Consider the following 22,248-nt stretch of genomic DNA (forward strand, 5'->3'; position numbering starts at 1 on the left):
GAAACTCAGCTTTTTGTAGCATGTGCCAGAAAAGCAGACATTGTATTACCTCCTTTCCCTTATTTCTCTCTTGGCACACCACGGCTCTCCTCTTAATAATCACAGTTGTCACTTAGATTTCACTTGAGCAGAGTTGGTTGGCTGTCTCTTATCTGCCAGCTTCCAAGAGGGCATAAAGAAAGGATAAACCCTGTCCTATGGTGGTTCAGTTCCTATTTGTCTACATTGAAGCTAGTTCTGCATATGGCAAATACTGCTGAGGAAGGACAAGCTGTGCAGTGGAGAGGCGCAGGGAGGAGGAGAGGAAATTGGAGAGGACTGAATAGGGACAGTGCACTGGAGCAGGAGTTTCAAGAAGGAGAAGAATTTAGTTAAGTGGAGGTGCAGGGTAGGAAGGCAAGGGTTCTCCATGGCCAGACCCCTGTGGGGAGAAAGAAACAGGGCAGGTTCAGGCAAAGGCAAGAGGCTGAGTAGGGTGTTTGAAGTGAGACCAGGACTGCTAAGGGAGTTTGTGATGGAAGAGTGTGGATGCAGGATGTGGAGCTTGGACCTGCTGAATCATGTGGGTCAGCCAGCAGGGGAGAAGTGTGCAGCTGCACTTTCAGATGACTCCAGCTGCCACGTGGAAAATGAGTTGGGTACAAAGAAAATGCATAGCAGGTGGGAAAACCCCTAGGAAGCAGCTGTGACATTACAGAGGGGGCATAATGAGGGTAATACTGAATTAGCAGTGGAATTGGAAAAAGGCAGTAGAATTGAGAGATTTTTCAGCACTGACAACTCTTGAAGGCTAAATGAATGTGACGGGGAAGAGAAAGGAGAGTCAAAGAATATTCTGAACGACAACAACAACAAAAAAGCCTTTGCTAATTCCCTTACGTTTCACTTGTCTGTTTTGACCTCAATGATATCTCTAGGGCAAGTGAAAGAAAACAGACCATTTTCTGAAGATACAGTGAGGCTCAGGCTCTTTTCCTTGAGCCTCCCGCTGGGCTTCCACCTGGCATCTGCACAGCTTGTGAACGACAGGGAAGTCAGACACCTCTGGTGGAGCGCCACCTGCTGGCTCAGTCAGCTTACTGAGCCTCAGCCTCTTGGCATCCGTAAAATGGGAATAAAAAGCTTCCCTCCTAGGATTCTTAGGAGGAGGAATATCCTGGTTATGAAAATAATTGGTATATACAGTGCTGGACATCCAAAACATGTTAATTGCCTTTCTTCAAATGATGTGGTGACTTCTGATTTGTTTAAAACAAAAGGATGCCAACACTTTTATCTTGTTAAACTCTATGATCACACTCTGACTTCTTTCTTTCTGGGTACTTTATCTGCCTCTCTCCATTGCTCATCTGTAAAATGAGGTTAGTAACAGTGCCTATGTCATGGGGCTGCTTTGAAGATTGAATAAGTTAATTTATGTAAAGTGCTCAGAATGGAGCCTGGCATATTGAGGAATATTTTGCTTTTTATTTTACTCTTAGGCAGCATTTGGCACTGAATGTTAGGGCATTGGCTAGCAGACACTGTGGTGGAAACATTGAAAATGAAAATCTTAGAAATGTTCAGTGCTTGCTAATGTAAAAACACATTGCTGACTACACCAGTCAAGATCCTGGCAGGAAGGAGGAAACAGAGGGTACAGTCAACCTGAGTAATTTGAGGGAAGCTCACTGAAGAGACCACAAAGGTGTGAGTGGTAAAGGAAGCCAGCAAGGAATAGCTCTGTGACCCAGGACTAGTAACAGTGATGATTCAGGAGCTGTTATCTTCTTTTGGTCTGAAAGGACAAGGGAGGAGGAGTTTCCAGTACCTGTAAACAATAGCTATTTGTCAAACAAGGGCTGCTTGACAAGACTTGCCAACTCATGGCGACCTGGCTGGGAGACTGCTGGGCAAGTAAACCCCTGATTTCATTCTCCTTCCACCCTCCATTGGTCGAATCCAACAGGGAGATGGAAGGCAGGGTAGCCCATTGATACAGTCCGGATAGGTCAACCTCTGCAGGACCTATCAGGTGGAGAAGAGCAACGTGGATCCGCAGGGGGCCAGTGGCCAGCACAATTATACTTCCTAGTTTAACTGTGTGATTATAAGGGTCAATGGAGGCATTAGCTTGTGGGTTTCTTGCTCCCTTTTAAGGAACAATTGTTGATGGAGACCAATATATCCATGCAAACATGCCAATGACACTAAGGGTAGAAGAGGGGGATCTGATTATCTTCTCTCTCTTCTCTACTCAGTAGCTGCAAAAGGGACCAGAACCTAGGATATATCTGCCCCACCTATTTTACCTGGGTTCTGATTTATAAGAAAAACAGGGAATTTTAGCATCTCAGACACATGTCCCTCAGCTCTGGGCAACTTGTTCATCATGAGAAGAGAAAGGAATGGAGGACTGGGCCAGTAGATTCAAGAAAGGGTTGTGGAAAAAATTTTCTAGAGCTACGAGCATAACCCTGAACAGCTCTTTGAGACAGAGGTGACTGATAAAAATAGCTGACTTGTACCAAGCACTGACCACATGCCTGGCACTATGCTGGGAGCTCTCCACACTTACAATAGCTCTGTGAAGTGGGAACATTGTCCCCATTTCACATATGGAGACACAGAGGCTACAAAAAGTGGTAAGTCATGCTCCAAGTGACATGGCTAATAAGTGGAAGGGCCATAATCCAAAGGGCCAATGATGAATTAGAATCTTGATTCATTACAGGATCTGTCTCTCTTCTTGGCCAAAATTGTGCAGGGGTCCTGGTAGAAAGGTTGCAGTGGGCAAAGGAAGAGAGAAACTTCTGAATATCTAAGAGCAAACTCTGTAGTAGGATGCGTGTACCCAGGTGTGACTGTGTCTCCATGAAGTGTTTTTGTTTCCCTTCCCCAGAATGTGACTTTGAAGAAAATCATCTCTGTGGCTTTGTGAACCGCTGGAATCCCAATGTGAACTGGTTTGTTGGAGGAGGAAGTATTCGGAATGTCCACTCCATTCTCCCACAGGATCACACCTTCAAGAGTGAACTGGGTGAGCTGGGATCAAATAGAGTCCTTTTCCCAGGATAAATTTTTCTGCTGTCTCCTCCCACTTCCTGCACTGACCTAGCTGTGGCTTCTGTCAACAGGGAAGAGAGGAGGGAGGAGGGTGAGTAGGAACTAAGTAGGAACCAGGAGGTGTGACAGAAGAGTAGGGAAGGATCTACAGTGAGGTAGAGACAAACTGCAGCTGTGAGCTCTGTAGCTAAGGGGAAGGCCATTCCATTAAAAGTTCTCCTTCACCTGTGGCCTAGTCTTGCATTTTCATATTTCCATATTATGCTTTACTTTCTTGTATATTTGTTGTTTAATATTTCTCATTTCTAAAGACAAGGCTGGAAAAATCCTAGGTTACTTTTCACTGAAGATAGATCAAAGGATGGGAATGGGTCCTAAGAACTTCCCAAGTGACAGTGAGGTGAGCCAATACTGATGATTAGCTCTGAATGTGGTGTGCAACAGGCCCCCCTAGTGGCCAAGAAGGCTGCTTCTCTGCAAGGAAAATGGGAGGTGAGGTTGTGTTACCAGCGAGAAGTCAGCTTTGAGGAGAAGTCCTCCACAGAAGAGAGACAAGGGCAAGGGCTTACTTACTTGTGGGTTACCACTGCTCTCACCTGGACCCTGGTAGGCTTTGGAAAAGCCAAGGTCTCCCCACAGTTGTAAGACATTTCATCCTCGACTCCAAGGTCTCCACGGAGTGAGAAGCTTCTGGCAGCTGGCCTTTCAACAAGAACAAGAACAGGAATTTTTATTCTGTTGCAAACAGTTAACTTTTTCTCTTTTGATCCTTTACGCATAGATATTGAGGTAATATACTCATCCTAATAATTTGTTGATGGTGACAGTGTGTCCCCATGCCTGAAGACATAATGACCTTTTATGGTTCTTACCATTTTTCTTCATTCAGTATTGCTTCTCTTCATCTGAATATATTTAACCATGTCTCCAACTCTTTTTTTCAAAAGTGCTCATCCTTCAGCTTATCTTGACTCTGGACAGTCTTCATCCTAACCTTACTGTTCTCTTTGCTCCTATTCTAACTTCTCCTTTATATCCAGAGTCTCAGGTTCAATTCCCTGTAACAGCCAGGCAGACAGTATAAGCAAATGACATGTGGGCTGGGTGAGGACTGCGGCAAACTAGATGGCAGAGACCCTGTGCAAAGGTTACTTGGCTCCAATGAGTTGCTGCTGTGTGAGAATGTAAGCCCGGGTTGCCAGATCTTTTGATGTTTCAAGATCATTAGGAAGGCAGGGGATTTTTTTGTGTGTGTGAAATTTCCCAAATTTTTAAAAGTTGGTGAATATTTTCTAAAATCACAGTGTGGGCCAATAAAACACACTTGCCGGTCAGGCCCTGTTGGCCAACTTCTATTTTGCAACCTTCATTTGACAAGTTTCTTTTACAATACATTCAGGCTTCTTAGAATAAGCTCTTTATAAGTAACCACAAATAAAAAGACTGGAGTCTCATGGAGTTGCCTGTTTAAAACAAACGCAACTTTAAATCTAGCATTTTCATTAATTTGACCCAGCATTAGATATGATGGGGTAAATGACAGTTAAAATGACAGATCCTCTATGGCCCCTTCCCAGCTTCAAGGAAGACGCTTTCAAGAAAGGAAAAGGGATTTCTACCACAAATGGATGTTAACAAAGGGTGGTATGTGTCAAGTGCAATAAGAGTGGTCTCCTTCCTCCATCAAAAAAGAAAGGTGTTGGGAATTCAGAGACAAAAGAGGTCCCTCACTGCTTGGATGTCCTAGAAGACATGATAAAAGAAGTAAACTGTATTTCGGGGATGGGTATGATTTTGACAAAGATGAGAAAAAGCTAAGAGCAATGATACAGTGGTTGTGCTACAAGGGGTGGATGGTGGGAGAGATGTGGCTGAGAAAGCAGTGCAGGGGCAAATTCTAAAATGCCTGGAATGCCAGGAAAGAGATTTTAACTTTATTTCATTGACAATGGGAGGCCACACAGGTGTTTGGGCAGGGGAGAGACACCATCACAGCAGTGTATTTAGATGGATTAACATGACAGAGATTATTTCAATAGATGGAGAGTAAAAAGGTGGAGCAAGAGTACAGAAGAATCCCCCAGAAACTGTTTCTTCAGATGCATCTGGGGTCACTTACATAAGAAATTGAGATAAGACAAAAAAAAAAGCATGTTTATGTACTTCCTACCTTTAAAAGCAAAGCAAGTTTCAGCCCTTTTTTTTTTCTTTTTTGAGACAGAGTCTTGCTCTGTTGCACAGGCTGGAGTGCAGTGGTGCAATCTCAGCTCAGTGCAACCTCCACCTCCCAGGTTCAAGCAATTCTCCCTGCCTCAGCCTCCCAAGTAGCTGGGATTACAGACACCCACCACTTTGTCCAGCTAATTTTTGTATTTTTAGTAAAGATGGGGTTTCCCCATGTTGGCCAGGCTGGTCTCGAACTCCTGACCTTAGGTGATCCGCCTGCCTCGGCCTCCCAAAGTGCTGTTTAGCACTTTTGACAGTGACAAAGGATTGGAGTTTTTCTACGGATAGCCCATATTTTTACCTTATAAATAAGTGGCCCGTCCTCATTTGGGGCCCTTTGTAGGAACCACACTATAAATAAGTGCTCTGTGTAGAGTGAATGATAACCAGTCATGGCAAAGTAATCCATGAATCTGCATGAGTATTTTAAAAGACAGTTGGGTTAACTCAAAATAATAAAATGTCACTAACTCTGGAGAGCTTTATGTAAATGAGTAAAGCAACTAACAATCTCTTGGGGTTTCAGGAAAGAAAAGCCAGATGACTTTTTCTTCATGTGTGACAATAGGCTAGTTTTGCGATTGTTTTTCTGTCATATCTTAAGAATCTAATACAAGGAACAGAAAGGATCTTGAAAGGCTGATGCATCAAAATGACGATTATTTCTTGTGTCATTATCACAGTTGCACAGAGAGGCAAATTTAACAATGGGGAAGTGTTAAAGAACTTTTCCCAAATCATTTAAAAATTCGTTCCAAAGTCAAACCCTGTGGGTAACCAATGTTATGATTCAGTGATTATTCAGTGTTTCATTTTTCATCCTCGATGGCAAGAGGTAGCTGGCTGGGGAGAACATATATTTCTTGGAAGAGGCAACAGAGCAGTGGACTAGTGTCAAATCATCCATTTGCTTGTGTTACCTGAGTGCAATTCATCCTTTGAAGAGTGTAATTCTCCTAGTCCTTCCTCATGCCCATCTGAATCATAGAATATTCTGACTATATTTGTGTCCCTAGGGATAGAGAAAGAGCCCCAGGCTAGGAGTCCAAATACTTGTGCTCCAGGCCCAGTTATCAGAGTACTTTATTACCTTGACTAAACCCTTAATTTCTTAGTGTCTCCATTGATGCATCTGCAAATGAGCAATTTGAATTCAATGATCTCTAAGATGCGTTTGAGTTCCAATATTTTACTTTTCTCTCCTTGCCTAATGCTATTTACCAAAATCTCCAAGTTCACCATTCAGTGAGATCTATTTCAAAATGGCTTGAGTCCCTCCTGGATACTTATAAGCACATAGCATTTGGCATTAGAAAAAAAAAAAAAAAAAGAGGACTAAAGGGACCAAGGGGTGAGAAAAAGAGGCCCTGGATTTTCTAATGTCTTGACCAGAAGGGTCAAGACGTAAGCATAGTGGTGTGGTCATCCTTGAGAAGCACTAAGACTTGCTGGTAGGGTGCTGTCACCCCTGACATAAGTACTTGCCTCTCTTCCCTCTTCCCCTCCCATCTCCCTCTCTCTATTTTCCCATTCTTCCTCTTCTTCCTTGGCTATTCTAGAATACTTCCCCAAGGCAGGCAGCTTTTCCTACTAGCATTGCTTAGTCCCCATATGTCAATACTGTGGGCTGAAAAAGAAGCTGACCTGAGGGCTGAAGGGAGGAAGTCTAAGAAGACTACGCACCTTCCAGCCATCCAGGGGATTATATAGTAAGTCCAGTCAGAGCCTCAACACCAGAATGACGCTTCTTCATTGATCATTATTCATTCCTTCACTCATTCAACAAACACATAATAAGCACTTTTTACATGTATTTATATTTACATTCTTGCATACCCTGGTGACATAAAAAAAGTCATTCTGGATAGAGAAAATATGGCACATATACACCATGGAATACTATGCAGCTATAAAGAAGGATGAGTTCATGTCCTTTGCAGGGACATGGATGAAACTGGAAACCATCATTCTCAGCAAACTAACACAGGAACAGAAAAACACCACACATTCTCACTCATAAGTGGGAGCTGAACAATGAGAACACATGGACACAGGGAGGGAAACATCACACACCAGGGTCTGTCAGGGGATGGAGATAGCATTAGAAGAAATACCTAATGTAGATGATGGGTTGATGGGTGCAGCAAACCACCATGGCACATGTATATCTATGTAACAAACCTGCACAGTCTGCACATGTATCCCAGAATTTAAAGTATAATTTTAAAAAAATGATGCTTTAAAAAAAAAAACAGTCATTAACCTCAAAGAGTTTACAGGAACCAACTTTTCCCAAAATGTCCTTCCCTATAATACCAGTTTTTAGTAAACTAATCCTTGTATGGGACACAAAGGTGATATGTGGTCAAATAAACTGGGGAAACTCTGCATTAAAGAAAGCTAAACAGATTTCTTTATTTCAGGATTTCTCACCACCTGTAATATAGTTCTGTGCTCATGTACATTATGGCATTTCTCAGATTATCTGAATACCAAAATGCTACATAAACTTGCAAGCATGCACAGTAATGTATGACTAATAGAGGTATGAAATAAATGATATGAAACCACAGACAAAAGATTACCTTGGTTTTGGGGTACAGAGAAGGCCCTCTTAAGGAAGTAATAGTAGAACTGGAATTTGGCCAGATGCATAAGGGGGAGACAAATGTAGCATGTGCAAAAGTGTAGAGGCATGAGAGTGGATGGTTTATTTTATATTTGGAGAGCATTTGAGAATCCCAAGGTATGTGATCATGGCAGAGGAACCCCTGAGTTCCAGGCTACATTCCTACTTATGATTAGCAGGAAGCCTGACTGCCTGCATTCCACTCTTTCCTGCTATTTCACTCCAAGTTCTCTTCAACCTTTGGACTAATATTTTGTCCATTCATTAGCCAACATCCCCACTCAACACACACACACACACACACACACACACACACACACACACACACACACACAGTCCTCATGCCTGGAGTCCTCTGTAAGTCTTTCCCCTATAGAGGATAGGGCCAAAAATGATGAGTTCAAAAGACTCTAAAATATTTTATTTGAAAAGCTCTGCCCATAGGACTCAAAGATTTGATCCGTATCATTCTTTAAAACAAAACAAAATAAACCCTCCAATGCTCTAAAAAGGAAAGAGGTTCCCTCTCTTATCATATTTGCTTTCTACCGCATATATTGATTTCCCCGGAGTTCTATCAATTTGGGTGGCAAAGTAAAGATTAAATGGTTCAGATGTCTGCCCGCAACAGCAGATTTTGCTCTATGTGAGTTCATCTTGTGTTCATTCATATACCGGACGCAGCTTTTGCCTTTGCTTTCAGGTAAAAACTGGAGAAACAGCACGTAGAAGGGAAGCTCATTGTCTACTTAGGAATTTCAGAACTGCAGAGAAGGTTGAGGGAAGTCTTCCCAGGAGAGTGCTAGTCTTTGTGTTGTAGAAAAGCAAAGAGTGAATGTAATTTCTGAAAACTACAATGTGATATGAGTTTTCCTTCATTTCCTTGTATGTTCCTAACAATCTGCCCCAAACATTGAGTCAAGGTTTTTAATGAGCATTGTTCCCCCAAATTAGTGTCTGATGATGGAAATGACTAAAATAATGTAGTAAGAATTGTGATAGGACATCTTTGGAATACTGGAGGGGATGTGATTTTTATCCTGTATTTTCTTAATTCTGATTCATCACATATGGGTTTCTTTCTTTATTCATATTTTATGAAGTGAAACAAAATCTTTCAGGAGGTAACCTACTGACAGCTCAGATCATTACTGTTTTCTACATACCTTAGCAAAAAAAAAAAAAAAGATGATTGCTGGAAAAATAATGAGGGATGCATCTCTTTGCTAAGATTTAAAAAACCAAGCCTGCTTGTGGTGCTATTATGGAAGAAGCTGGACAAGGTTTCAAAATCTAAAATAAGGTTAGAGTTATTTAATTCCATCAAACATCATGAGATGGTTGGATCATCTCTCCATGACTCGTGACACTCTTTTCTCATTTCAGTTTGGAATGAGCAAGAGTCATTTTAACAGGACTTATTTATTTACTCTCTGCATTGATCCATTTGGTGCGTGGTGTAAGTACTCGGTAGGGAAGCAGCTTTCTTAATTTTCTTACCATTTTCTTTGTGCAAGGTCTGCTGGATTTCCTTTCTCTGCCCTTGGATGACTTACTGTGGCTTTCCAGTTACTTTCAGGTATTAATAAACACCTTCATTTTCAAGGATTAGATGCAGTCAAGTCACAACTGCAATGTCTCATCTAGTTCAGATCTTCCCAGAGACTGGGCCACACAACAGCAGTAGAGAGAAAGGTTTGTGCTTTGTCTCTTCATACTTCACCTTTTTCTTCCCTACTTCTCCCTCTTACTGTACTGCTTCTGGCTGCTTCAGAGTTGGGAGGCAATGGGCAGGGTGGGGATGGAACAGAAAGGCAAAGGCTAGGGACAAAAGGTTTCACTTGCCTCTTGCTATTTAATCTAGAGTTGATGACCTTCATACAGCACATGGCCAAATTCTGGCATTCCTGTCATGGCCAATGGGGGATCCCACTTTAGTGTTGACAGACAGGGATGAGCAACTCTCTGGCTGACCATCTGTGAATCCTGCTTAGCTCATATAAGTCACGGTATGCCCTACCAGCTCCCTTCTAATGGAATTACCGCACTGGTAGGCAGTTCTCTTGAGAAGAGTCCTTTTAAGGTACTGTAGCCCAGCTGCCTTCTAAATTGCCCCCTCAAACTCTGGAAGTGCATTTCACTGGCAACAAACTCCTTTTTCTCTACTCTTCCCCTACGGGTCCCTATAGTCAGTTTTTTGCCTTTAGATGTATGCACCAGTGCCAGGCTCCATCTCTGCATCACACACACACACTCCAGTATCACTGATCAACCTTTTTCAAGAACTCTGATTACTTTCATCTCAAGGTCCAGAGCAACTGCAGAGCTCAGAAATTTCTGCTCAAAAGGGAGGGGATGAGGTTACATGGCAGTTTCCTTCCTCTACCTCTTCCATGAGTGGTTCGCTTAAGCCCCCTCCTTTAGATCAAGGTAAGAAAAGGGAAGCAATCCCCTTGCCTTCCCTGGAGAGGTCAAAAGGAAACACATAGCAGGGCAGCTCTAACCCAACTCTTTATAGAAACCCCATCTCCAATCTCTCTGATTCATCTCGAGCCTTCTCATATGCACAGGCTACAAGGGAGAGATGGGCTAACACTTGTAGAGCTGGGGTAGGTGCCAGGGGCTGCCACTTAACATATTGACAGTCTAGCACCACTCTTTAGAAAATAGAGGTTGTTGTCACTTATTGTTTGGGGCTTTGAGGTCTTAGCACAGATAGGAGAAGTCTCACGTAATATTCATTCATGCTTACGTCATCCTTGAAAGCTGTATAAAAAGACTAGAGTCTGACTTTATCATAGTAAGGGCCACCAAAACCCTTACAACTAAAGGCTTGTGAAGATAACTGTCAGACTCATAGGGTGGAAAAACATGCATCATAACTCATTATCTTTGGGTGCCGTCTGCTCACCATGGCAGCAGACCAGTGGGTATTTCCCTCTGGCATACATCTCTTCAGACCAGGTTGTCTGCCCTACTGGGGAGACAGCTTGTCCAGACAACCAGCAACACTGGAGCAGACAACACAACTGGAGTGCAAATGTGGCCAGCAGGGCGCATCACAGCTGAGTCAGAGGATGCCTCTGGCACCGCGGCCAAGCCAAGGGCAGTCTTAGGGGAATGCTGGTGAGCCAGACTGCTTGAAAATAAACATTCAGGAACCGCCTTTAAAGTTCTTTCCCTAATGCAAGGGGAAATGGCTGACTACCAGGGGCCACTGGTTCCACATGAAAAGTTCAGCTAATACAGAGGGCTGCTGCAAGAAAGGAACAGACAGCCTCTTCAGGAGCAAGTGTGCATACACCAGCACTGCAGGCTCCATCCCAGAAGGGGCCTGAGCACTGGCAGCATGACTGAGAACTGTGATCTTTCTTTCAACTGAATTTGAATTTTTTTTTTGCCTAGAAACCTCAGGCTCTTTGTGTATAATCCAGAATTAGGTAATAATAGATTGATTTTCACTCTGTGTATGGCAAAGCAGAACAGATTGTAGAGGAATGGCAATAAGCTTCTCAATTCTTAATCTTATGGGGGAACCCATTTCCCCCATATAACCTCTTTCGTTTTCAGTTCAAGTTGTAATACTTTAGAATCTCTGTGGCCTGCAGGGTATCCAGTGATTTGGCAGATTAAAGGATTCTGTCTACTTAAAGTCCATCTATACCTAGTTTCATCCTACTTGAATCTTAACGATCTGACAAAGGAAAAAAAAAAAAAAGCCTTTTCCAGAGGTTCTGGAAGCTCTAGAGCCCTATGCCAGATAGGAGTGTTGGGTTCATTGAACTAGGCAGGAAGATTCTCCTAATATCAGACACTGGACAAAATTTTCCAAGAACTCCAGGCTACCATCATTGTTTTTAGAAAGGAGAATACAATGGCACCTGCAGCCACCTACCCATTGACTCCTCTTCCTCAGAACAGATTGTATCTGATGACACACTCAGCCTGGTTTGGCTGTCATTCCTCCAGCCTCTTCTCCTGGGGCAGACACCTGAATGACAATTTCTGAATCACCCCTAACAGTTCAACTGAGATAGTAAACTCATGATGAGCTACCTTTTGTTCCCCAATGAGAAGCTTAATGTTGCTCAAATTGTCAGTAAATAGAACCCAGCTTTGGCAACAAATGAATGATGGAAAGAAAAAGGGTACAAGAGCATGCGGTCTAGTCTGGTGGTTCTGTATGAGACTTAGTGTCAGCAGTCTTGGTCTTATTCCCAGCAGCCTCTCTGACTCACTTTGGGCAGATCATGTTGTGTTTTCTGGATGCTTTTTGGATCAGAAATGTGACTGTGGTTCACTTGGCCTAGCATCCTGAGCACAAGTTGCTAGTGAGGCACTTTGGCTGCAAATGCACAAAATATTGTCCACACAGCAGGTGAGTTACTACCCTTTAAAGACAACTCTCAGATGTCCGTCATCTGCAAGGAAGATGAATTTACAACAAGGCTGGCTGTGGAAGCTGACACTAAGCTGGGACTAGGTGGGAAAGAGATTTCCTGGGAGAGATGGCTATGAAGGCTCTGAGGAGAAAGGAGCCAGAGTAGCTGGGGACAGGCCCAGTGTCCTTATGGGGCACAGCAGCCATAGTGCCTAGGAGCCATGGCATTTTTAGGGGTCCATGACAATATTTTAATTTTATTTATTTGAAAATTGGAAGGGTAAAATGAATATAATAATTTCTAGCCTACATCATATACCTCTTTATGCCAATGTAGTAATAAACTAAAATGTTAAGATTATTTTATTTATTTTTATTTTTTTTATGGAGGAATGAGCCCACAAAAGTCATAAAGATGCCCTGGGTAGGGAAAACTTTCAGCTCAGGACGCAAACCTGACCCCTGAGGAAGAGGAGAACCTGGGCCGATGGGAGCTGCTGAAGGGCCCCATGGCAGACAGAATGGCCTGCCCCTCTGCTATGCTTGGTCACTGCCTGGGAGCAGCCCAGAGTGGTGTGGTCTTGGTACAAACTCTCCTGCAGGTCCAAAGGTGAGGTGGCTGGAGACCCAGTCAATGATGGTTCCTTCAGCAAGTTCTCTTAAAGGGGATCTCTGTGGCCCCTGCAATTAGGTATCCAGGAAACAAAGTATTACACATACATTATAATACAAAGAATTGTAGCTCTCCTCCACTCAGTTCTCCCTGCTCATATCTCACAAAAAGATTCTGTTTCATTGGTAAGTCATGTTACAAAGAGCAATGAAGACTTCATCTCTGTCTTTGATATTCACATGAGTTCTTAGAGAACAGAAGCAGATTACAGAAGCTAACTGGTCATAGGCATTCTCCACTACTAGAATGTTCTCGTCAAGGCTTGCTGGCCACCAGGAGTGCTTTAGAGGGTTTCCAAGCTTGGGATATGGAGGAGTGACCTTCCCTCCATATCAGAGGTTCTTTGATTCTATCCAGTCTGTCATTCCGATTCTTCCTTTAAAATTCCTGCCCAGAGGTGGCAAAGTGGAGCCAACAGTGGTTTCCAGCCTGCAGATATGTTTATTTGGCGCATACAAAGTTTAAAAAAATATGGTGGGGAGTGTTAGGCGTTGAATTGTGCACAGTCAAAATTCAAATGTTGAAGTCCTAACCCCCAGGACTTAGAATGTGACCTTGCTTGGACATAGATGGGTGCAGAGGTCATTAGCTAAGATGAGGTCATGCTGGAGTAGGGTGGGCCTCCAATCCAATATGACCGCAGTCCTTATTAAAAGGGGAACTTTGGGCACAGAGAGAAATGTACACAGGGAGAATGCCATGTAAAGATAAAGGCAGAGGCCTTCAAGCCAAGGAATGCCAAAGATTGCCAGCACACCACCAGAAGCCGGGAGAGAGGCCCAGAACAAATCCTTCCCTCACGGCCCTGAGAAGGAACAATCCCTGCTGACACCTTGATCCTTGACTTCTGGACTCCAGAACTGTGAGGCAATACATGTGTGTTGCTGAAGCCTCCCACTTTGCAGTATTTTGTGACAGCAGCCCTAGCAAACCACACAGGAAGCATCCCTTAAAAATGGATAGATTTGCCGTGAAAACCTGAATTCCAGGCTAGGATGGGGAAAGCCTGCAGCATGGGGCTGGGTGCCGGGCATCCGCTGCAGTAGACCCTGCTCTCTCAGGGAGGCTGGAGAACATGGGGGTGAGGGGCCAGGCTTCTCACCCCAAGCCGGTTATTGCCGCATAAGAATATGGGCCTAGGACTATCAGATGTTTTTATTTTTCCAGATAAGCTTGATTTCTGTTTCTCGATGTGGGGGAAATATGATTTCAAATACTGGCTACTAATTTACCACTCTCTATTTTCTCCCTGACTCAATCAACTTCACTCATACACTTAATCTGGCTGCCTCCTCTGAGAATTTGAGTTTGTAATCTCTGTTTATTCACTGTTGTGTGGTTTGGCAAAACGATAAGGTAAACTATATTCAAAGAAGATTATTCAGGGGATTCAGGATGTTGAACAACTTGCCACCAGGAGAAAGTGAGCTTTGACCTGTCCATTTTTCCCTTCTGCCATGTTGAGATGAGGACCTTTCTGAGACCATGTCTGTACATTAAATAACCATGTGTTGAGAGCCCACCACATACCGGGCTATGTACTAGATACACAGTAAATGTCCAGTGTATAAATGCATATGCTCCTCCTAATATTTGTTTCTGCTCTGCTCTTCATAATGGAGAAAAGGTATTCTTTATTTCCTTATTTTATTTTTTGGAGACAGGGTCTTGCTTATCACCCAGGCTGGAGTACAGTGGTGTGATCATAGCTTACTGCAACCTTGAACTCATAGGCTCAAGTGATTCTCCTGCCTCAGCCTCCCTAATAGCTAAGACCAGAGGTGCATGCTACCATGCCCAGCTAATTTTAAGAAAGCTTTTCTGTAGAGACAGGGGTCTCACTATGTTGCCCAGGCTGGTCTCAAGTTCCTGGCCTCAAGCAATGCTCCCGCCTCAGCCTCCCAAAGTGTTGGGATTACAGGCATGAGTCACTGCACCTGGCCAGGAATTCTTATTAACCAGAAATTATGTCATGGAAATGAAGATATTAAGCTGTAATTATTCTGAGCTTGTAAACAGAAAGGGCATTCTGTTGAAGCTGCATTGAATAGCACTTCTTTGTCATCACTCAAATGAATTCAGAAAAAATTGCTAACAATGATAGCTTACCCTTTATACAAAACAGGCTATAGGGCAAGCATGGTTCTAGAATTGTGAATGGCGTTGTAATTGTTAGACAGCTACAATGTACCAGGCACACGCTAAGCACTTTACATACATGACTCCATGTAATATTCATTGCCTCTATGAGGAAAGTATTTGATTGTCATTCTAGAGATCAGGAAATTGAGACCCAGACATACTCAGAAACTTGTTCAAGGTCACAGGGCTAGTAAGAAGTGGAGCAGGATTCAACCTCATTTCTCTTCAATGCTAAGTCAAGGCTGTCTCCATTCTGCCACATGGTTTCTGTGTTTCACCAAGATGCCCCTAATGGAGGCCAGCCTCTGGGTCCAGAGCCCACAAAGACCTGCCAAGAGTGGTACCACACATTCACTCCTCCAAATTTCAGTGTCGATTGACTTGCATGCTATTAACAACACACAAATTGCCATATAGTTGGAATTCAAAATCTTAGTTTCACTCAAAAAACACATGGTGACATCTTGCATTAATTGTAAACATGTGCAGGAGGGTCTCTCCATGCCCTTTTAAGAATAGATGGTAAGCTTTGTCTTTGTGTGCTCTTCAGAGTCTTATGACTCAAATAAGGATTGGGAGGGAGTGGCTTCTCAGGTAATGTTCTATTTCTCTCCATGGGTGTGTTCAGCTTGTGAAAACTTAAGCACTTGACAGATGACACATCTACCTTTCTCTGTGTATATTTTACTTGAATCAAAAGTAAGGAAAGTAAAAGGAATGGTCTCATCCTGTATTTAGCAGAGTGCAATGAACCCCATGGACCCATCTCTCAGCTGCAACATTTCTCCATCCACTCATGGCCAAACCTCTGTCAGCTGTAACTCATCCACTTCCTCCTCACCATTCCCACTGGATTATTTAGAATGCAGAATCACACCATTTCGCCTGAACCTCTTCCCCTCCCCCACCCCCAACTCTTAACACTGTGCTCTGTCTGTGTGATTTTCAGGCCACTACATGTACGTGGACTCAGTTTATGTGAAGCACTTCCAGGAGGTGGCACAGCTCATCTCCCCGTTGACCACGGCCCCCATGGCTGGCTGCCTGTCATTTTATTACCAGATCCAGCAGGGGAATGACAATGTCTTTTCCCTTTACACTCGGGATGTGGCTGGCCTTTACGAGGAAATCTGGAAAGCAGACAGGCCAGGGAATGCTGCCTGGAACCTTGCGGAGGTCGAGTTCAGTGCTCCTTACCCCATGGAGGTAGGTGTACTGGTGCGCACCAGCTGTTCACTGGCACTCTTTAGACATGCCACCCACACACAGGGCTGGAGATGGAGAGGCTGTGCAGCCTCACACTCAGTCTGTCTTTTCTGCTGTGCCTCAACTGTATTCTTTCTCATCCTCAGCCCCTCTCCTGCTCTCCCTTCCTCTGTGTCCCCTTTGCCTGCCTCCTTTATCACCTTCATTTCCTAGCAAGAGTCATTTTTATGAGAACAAATATGGCTAAAGCCAGTTAACCAACTAGACTTCTTGGCGACCCTCTCCTTCTGAACCTTGCACTGTGGTCACAGAGGGTTCAAAAGAGGAGATCAGAACCCTCCAAGTAAAACTCAGTCTTGAGCTACCCTTCCTGAGAGCAGTTTTGAAGGTTTTCCTTACTTGAGTGAACTGTTTTTTTTTTTTTTTTAGAAAAAGTGACTCATTTCTTTTTTTGCAGCATAAATAATGTCGTAAAATCAGAAACAAACTTGCTATTATGGCCCTAGTTTGAAACAAGGCTTGATGCCTTCATTTTAAAACTTTTTCCAGTTATATAAGTGACGTGTTCAATGCAGAAGAATTAGAAAATTCAGAGAAATGAAATGAATTAAAATGCCCTCAGCCAACTTCACAAAGGGGAGGACTACTAACATTAAAGTTCTACTATCTTTTCGACCTTTTTCTAAGCCCGTACATGAATACATGTCTGTATCTATGTATGTATTTCAGAAGCTACAAGTACTTTCAGTACTGACTATCCAGCCAAGTAGATAAAATTATCTCCGTATTTACACACAAGAAGGAAGAAAACAGAGTGTCCAAGAAATTGGACATTTTTTTCTAGGTCACACAGCTGGTGAATGCCAGAGAACTCCGTAACTAAGTTCGTGGACTAAAATCTGACCGAAAGCTGAGGAAGGAGGCCCAGCTCTGTCTGAGGACCCCTTAGGACCTCTAGAATCAGTGGGTGCAGCAATATGGTTGCTATAAGATTGCTATAAAGATTTGGAGCTATAAGTAGAGTCTTGGTTACCCCAAGTTATTAATATCCTCCACTTTTCACTTTGTGCTTTTTGCAATATCTTCTCCAGTTCCCTTTAAAGTGCCAGAGAAACAGATTATTCCTCTGGATGGGTTTCGGTGGTGCCATCTGCTAGCCTGATGTAGAGCTGCAGAGAACAGGGTTAGGTCTTAGTTTCTGATGTGTTTCATCTACTGATGGCGTGCCTGCCTCTCCCCACACCCCCTTCCTATTTACCTCCCTACCTCCCCCCACAAAAAAAAAACACTCTAGAGAGAGCACAGTGTCTCTTGCAGAATGTGTGCTATTTCCTATCCCAAAGTCCAACCAGGTCTCGATTTGTTCTTGCAGCCCAGTGGAAAATTTTCTGTGAGTTTGGGTTACGAGGAGGAAAAGAAATGCATGTACTGCTTCAAAAGTTTCCCGTCAAAGTCAGATGAGTCCCACACACACACTGACAGCGTTCTCTTTACCAACTCCTTCCATCCAACCATAAACTCCTTGGGCAACATTTGTCTGAATCAAATGTTGCTGAATTTTTAAAAATCAATACTTGAAAAGTTACAACTCTGGACACTACTAAACCTCAATACACATCCTTTGGGTCAACACATGTGATTTTGCTCTACTAGTCTGAACTATTCACTGGTGTTATTTGCTCTCACTCATCAGGAAAAGAAAGTTGTCCTGAAGAAATCAGTGAGTTTAATGTCATCACATTCTCAAGTGAATTTTGAGAAGGAAAACAAACATTGGAGACTGTCTGAACAAGAGAACACATTGGCACAGAGGCTGTGATTAGCACATGCTGATCAGGAATAGCATTCTTTCCCCACCGGCTCAGTGTAAATTTTGCCATTCACTTTCTTTACCAGCTAGTGCCTTGAGAGCTAAATGTCATGGACCTGTGTTAAGTTTGTAATGTTAATTTGCCCCCTTCTCATAAGTCCACATCTTTTCCTTCATTCATAGCCCTTCCCCCTTGGCAAAGACAAACTTCTAGGCTTCCCCGTGGATTTTGGAGAGTTTAGGTACCAGGTCCTTATGGGACCATTACTGTTAAGGTGAAAGGTACTTTAAGAACTATTTTGTCCAAACTCTTTTTCTTTTCAAAAAATGAAGAAACCGAGGGCTGGAGAAGAATGGGCCTGCTCAAGCTAATTAGTGGCTAGCTAGGCTGGAACCTGAATAGAAGTTCAAGAGGGAGTCAACCTGCAGAAAAAAAAAAAATTATTTTTGAAACAGGGTCTCACTCTGTCACCCAGGCTGGAGTGCAGTGGAGTGATCTTGGCTCACTGCAACCTCTGCCTCCCAGGTTCAAGCAGTCCTCTCACCTCAGCCTCCCAAGTAGTTGGGACTACAGGCATGTGCCACCACACCCAGCTAATTTTTGTATTTTTTGTAAAGATGAGGTTTCGCCATGTTGCCCAGGCTGGTCTCAAACTCCTGAGCTCAAATGATCCGCCCACCTCAGGCTCTCAAAGTGCTGGAATTACAGGCATGAACCACTGCGGCCAACCAACCTTCAGAAAAAGATAGAAAATTAGTTCAGAGCTTGTTATGTGCCTGACTCTGTGCTCGGATATTTGTATACATTATCTCATTTAATCTCCTCAACAGTCCTACAAGACAGGTGTTTTATAGATAAGAAAACTGAGACCCTGGGAGGTTAACTGATTGATATGGTTTGGCTGTGTCCCCACCAAAATCTCATCTTGAATTCCCACGTGTTGTAGGAGGGACCCAGTGGGAGGTAATTAAATTATGGGGGCAGTTCTTTCTCATGCCTTTCTCGTGATAGTGAATAAGTCTCATAAGATCTGACAGTTTTATAAGGATGAGTTTCCCTGCACAAGCTCTCTTCTCTTCTCTTTGCCTGCTTCCATCCACATAAGATGTGACTTGCTCCTCTTTGCCTTCTGCCATGATTGTGAGGCCTCCCCAGCCACATGGAACTGTAAGTCCATTAAACTCTTTTTCCAGTATAAATTACCCAGTCTCGGTATGTCTTTATCAGCAGCATTGAAACAGACTAATACAGTGATATATCCAGGCCCACCTAGCTAATAAGTGATGAAAATGGGATTTGAACTCTGGTCTGTCTGCTTCCAAGAAACTATTCTATTCAGAAGAAGCTGCAAACTAGAAGCCTAGAGGTCAAATCTAGTCCACAGTGGTGATCTGTCTGGCTGTGGAGTGGGGTTTTTCATTTTATTTTTGTTTTAATTTTTTAATTAATTGCCAGCATTGACAAACTCAAAGATTTCAGATAAAATCTAGAGTCAGATCCTCTTGATAATTTGCTAGATACAGAGACATTAGGCCTCGTATTTGTTTGCTAGGACTGCCCATAACAAAGTAGCACAAAACAGGTCGCTTAAGAAACAGAAATTTTGTATGTCATTGTTCTGGAGGCCAGAAGTTCATGATCAAGGTGCTGGCAGGGCTTGTTCCTTCTGAGGGCCATGAGAGAAAATCTGCCCTATGCCTCTCTCCCATTTCTGGTGGTGTGCTGGCAATCTTTGGCATTCCTTGGCTTGTAGCTCTCTGCCTTCATTTTCACATGGCATTCTGTGTGTGTGTGTGTGTGTGTGTGTGTGTGTGTGTGTGAGAGTGTCTGCATCCAAATTTCTCCTTTTTATAAGGACACCAGTCGTTTAAATTAGAGGCTCACTCTACTTCAGCATGACCTTATCTTAACTAATTACATTTGCGGTGACCCTATTCCCAAATAAGGTCACATACTGAGATACTAGAGGTTGGCACTTCAACACAGGAATTGTGTGTGAGGGATGCAGGGGGACGCAGGTCAACCCATAACAGGCCTGACTTCCCACATATCAGCAATTGATGAGGCTGAGTGACAGCTGCCCTTTTAGACAGGGTTTCTGTCTCTATTTCACAAGAGGCTGCACCATACCAAGCCCACTTCTGCATTTCTACTACTTGCCTGGACTTTGTAGGCACTGAAGTTTCAAGCCCTGTTCCATGCTGCGTCTTCTCAGGTTATTAACTCACACAAGAGGAATGCATACCTGGGTGGTTTTTCCAGCACAGGTGAAGGCTGTGCTGACATCTGATTCCCCCATGGTCACAGGCAGAAGGTGGTTGACTGAGCTCACAGTTAAAGTTGCTGGTAGAGAAGAAAGCAAAACTAAAGGGGTTGAAGTCATTGGCCCATGTTCTTTCTAACCATTGGAACATACCTGGACATGCTGAGATCGGGGTTCTCACCTCTGACTGCTGCATCTTTGTCCAGGCCTTGATGTAGAGTTCATATAGGAAGAAGTAAAGGAACTTAGAGGGTGTTTGCTCCTGAGGGATGGCAGGGAGGTAAAAAAACAAAACAAAACAAAACAAAACAAAAAAACAAAAAAAAACCTGGCCTACTTTCTTAGCTGATTTTTCCTTTAATTGAAGTTCATAATGCTAATTAGTTCTGTAGTTCTAGCAGAAATGACATAGGCACTTCAGCTGACATTCAAGGAAGAGGGGCATATCCATCAATAAAAGGCAACTTTAGAGACTCTGTCTTGGTTCATTCAGGCTGCTATAACAAAATACCATAAACTAGGTAATTTATAAACAACAGAAATGTATTTCTTACAGTCCTGAAGTCTGGGAAGTCCTAGATCAAAGTATTGGCAGATCTGGCGTCTGCTGAGGGCCTGTTTCCTGGTCCATATGGCACCTACTCATTGTGTCCGCAAATTCCAGAAGGGGCAAATGAGCTCCCTTGGACCTCACTTATAAGGGTACCAATCCCATTCCAAAACCTAATCACCTCCCAAAAAGCCCCACCTTCTATTACCATTCCCTTAGGGGTTCATATGTCAACGTATGACTTTTGAGAATTTGTGAGTGTCCCACAGACACTCAGATCATAGCAGTTTCATTCTCCCAAAAAGAGACTGTAGGTTGAGGAGGGTGCTGCCCAAACTCATATTTGGAAATCTGATTCCATGAGTCCTTGTAACTTGGCTTCATCTGGTTTGATTGACATGTCATTTTAAATCATTAAGAGCACTTAAGCCAAACCGAAAATATGTGAACATGTGACAGCATGCCATTTTCCTCTGCAGGTTATTTTTGAAGTTGCTTTCAATGGTCCCAAGGGAGGTTATGTTGCCCTGGATGATATTTCATTCTCTCCTGTTCACTGCCAGAATCAGACAGGTGAGCATTCTCTATTTGTCATTGCATTTTGGGATGTTCCTGTTTCAATAGATGTTTGTGGTCAGAACTTGTTTTAATTGCTTTTAATTTTCATATCTTTCCCCTTCTGTCATCCTTAAAAAATTATTTAATCAAAGGTCATTTTTCTGGAATATTACTCTCTTTTCCTCCCTCACAGAGGGAATCTAATGTTTCTGACACCATCAGCCAGTTGTCCTATCTTAGGAAGGTTTCATCTTTCCTTTCCAGGAAAAGAAAATTAAATAATACTAACTTATTCTCACACACTCACTCCATCTTTCTCTTTAGAGGATATCTTGGGCCCATAAATGGGTGGCTGGGTAGATGGACAAAGCTCTCACAATCTACTGAATAGAATAATATATTTTAAAAACGCTTTCCAACTGTATGTATCCAAAATTTATAAATGGCCTCATGTTTAAAGACGTTAGTATTTGGTAGACATCTCTAGATAGTTTTAGCTAAATAGCATGTGCTCTTAATTAAATTACTTTCCACTTCCAGGATGAACCCTCAAATTATTTTATCATGATCAGTTTTGAGATTTCATAAATTTGATGTTTAAAATGAGAGGATTATTTTTACTCTCTGGAAAAATAGGTAAGCAAATTGATTCAAAGTGAATTAGAAAGCAAATGTTTTATAATAAGAAGGATAATAATATAGTAATGATAACCCAGATAAATAAAATTGACCTTACTGTTTAGTGAATTTGTTTCCTTGAGAGA

At 42.8% G+C, this 22,248-nt stretch overlaps 1 protein-coding gene across 3 annotated transcripts in view; it reads left to right on the plus strand.

Moving 5' to 3' along the window:
• Positions 1-22,248, plus strand: part of MAMDC2 (MAM domain containing 2) — a 183,392-nt gene that overhangs the window by 66,533 nt on the left and 94,611 nt on the right. For all 3 annotated transcript variants that reach the window (NR_125850.1, NM_153267.5, NM_001347990.2), the window contains exons 5-7: positions 2,882-3,019; positions 16,046-16,302; positions 21,406-21,499. Coding sequence is in view for 2 of the 3 variants with exons in the window: in NM_153267.5 (NP_694999.3) it covers positions 2,882-3,019; positions 16,046-16,302; positions 21,406-21,499 (489 nt within the window). In the remaining variant the exon portion in view is untranslated. The remainder of the gene's footprint in view (positions 1-2,881; positions 3,020-16,045; positions 16,303-21,405; positions 21,500-22,248) is intronic.

This window comes from Homo sapiens, chromosome 9 (assembly GCF_000001405.40).
Source record: "Homo sapiens chromosome 9, GRCh38.p14 Primary Assembly".
Taxonomy (NCBI): domain Eukaryota; kingdom Metazoa; phylum Chordata; class Mammalia; order Primates; family Hominidae; genus Homo; species Homo sapiens.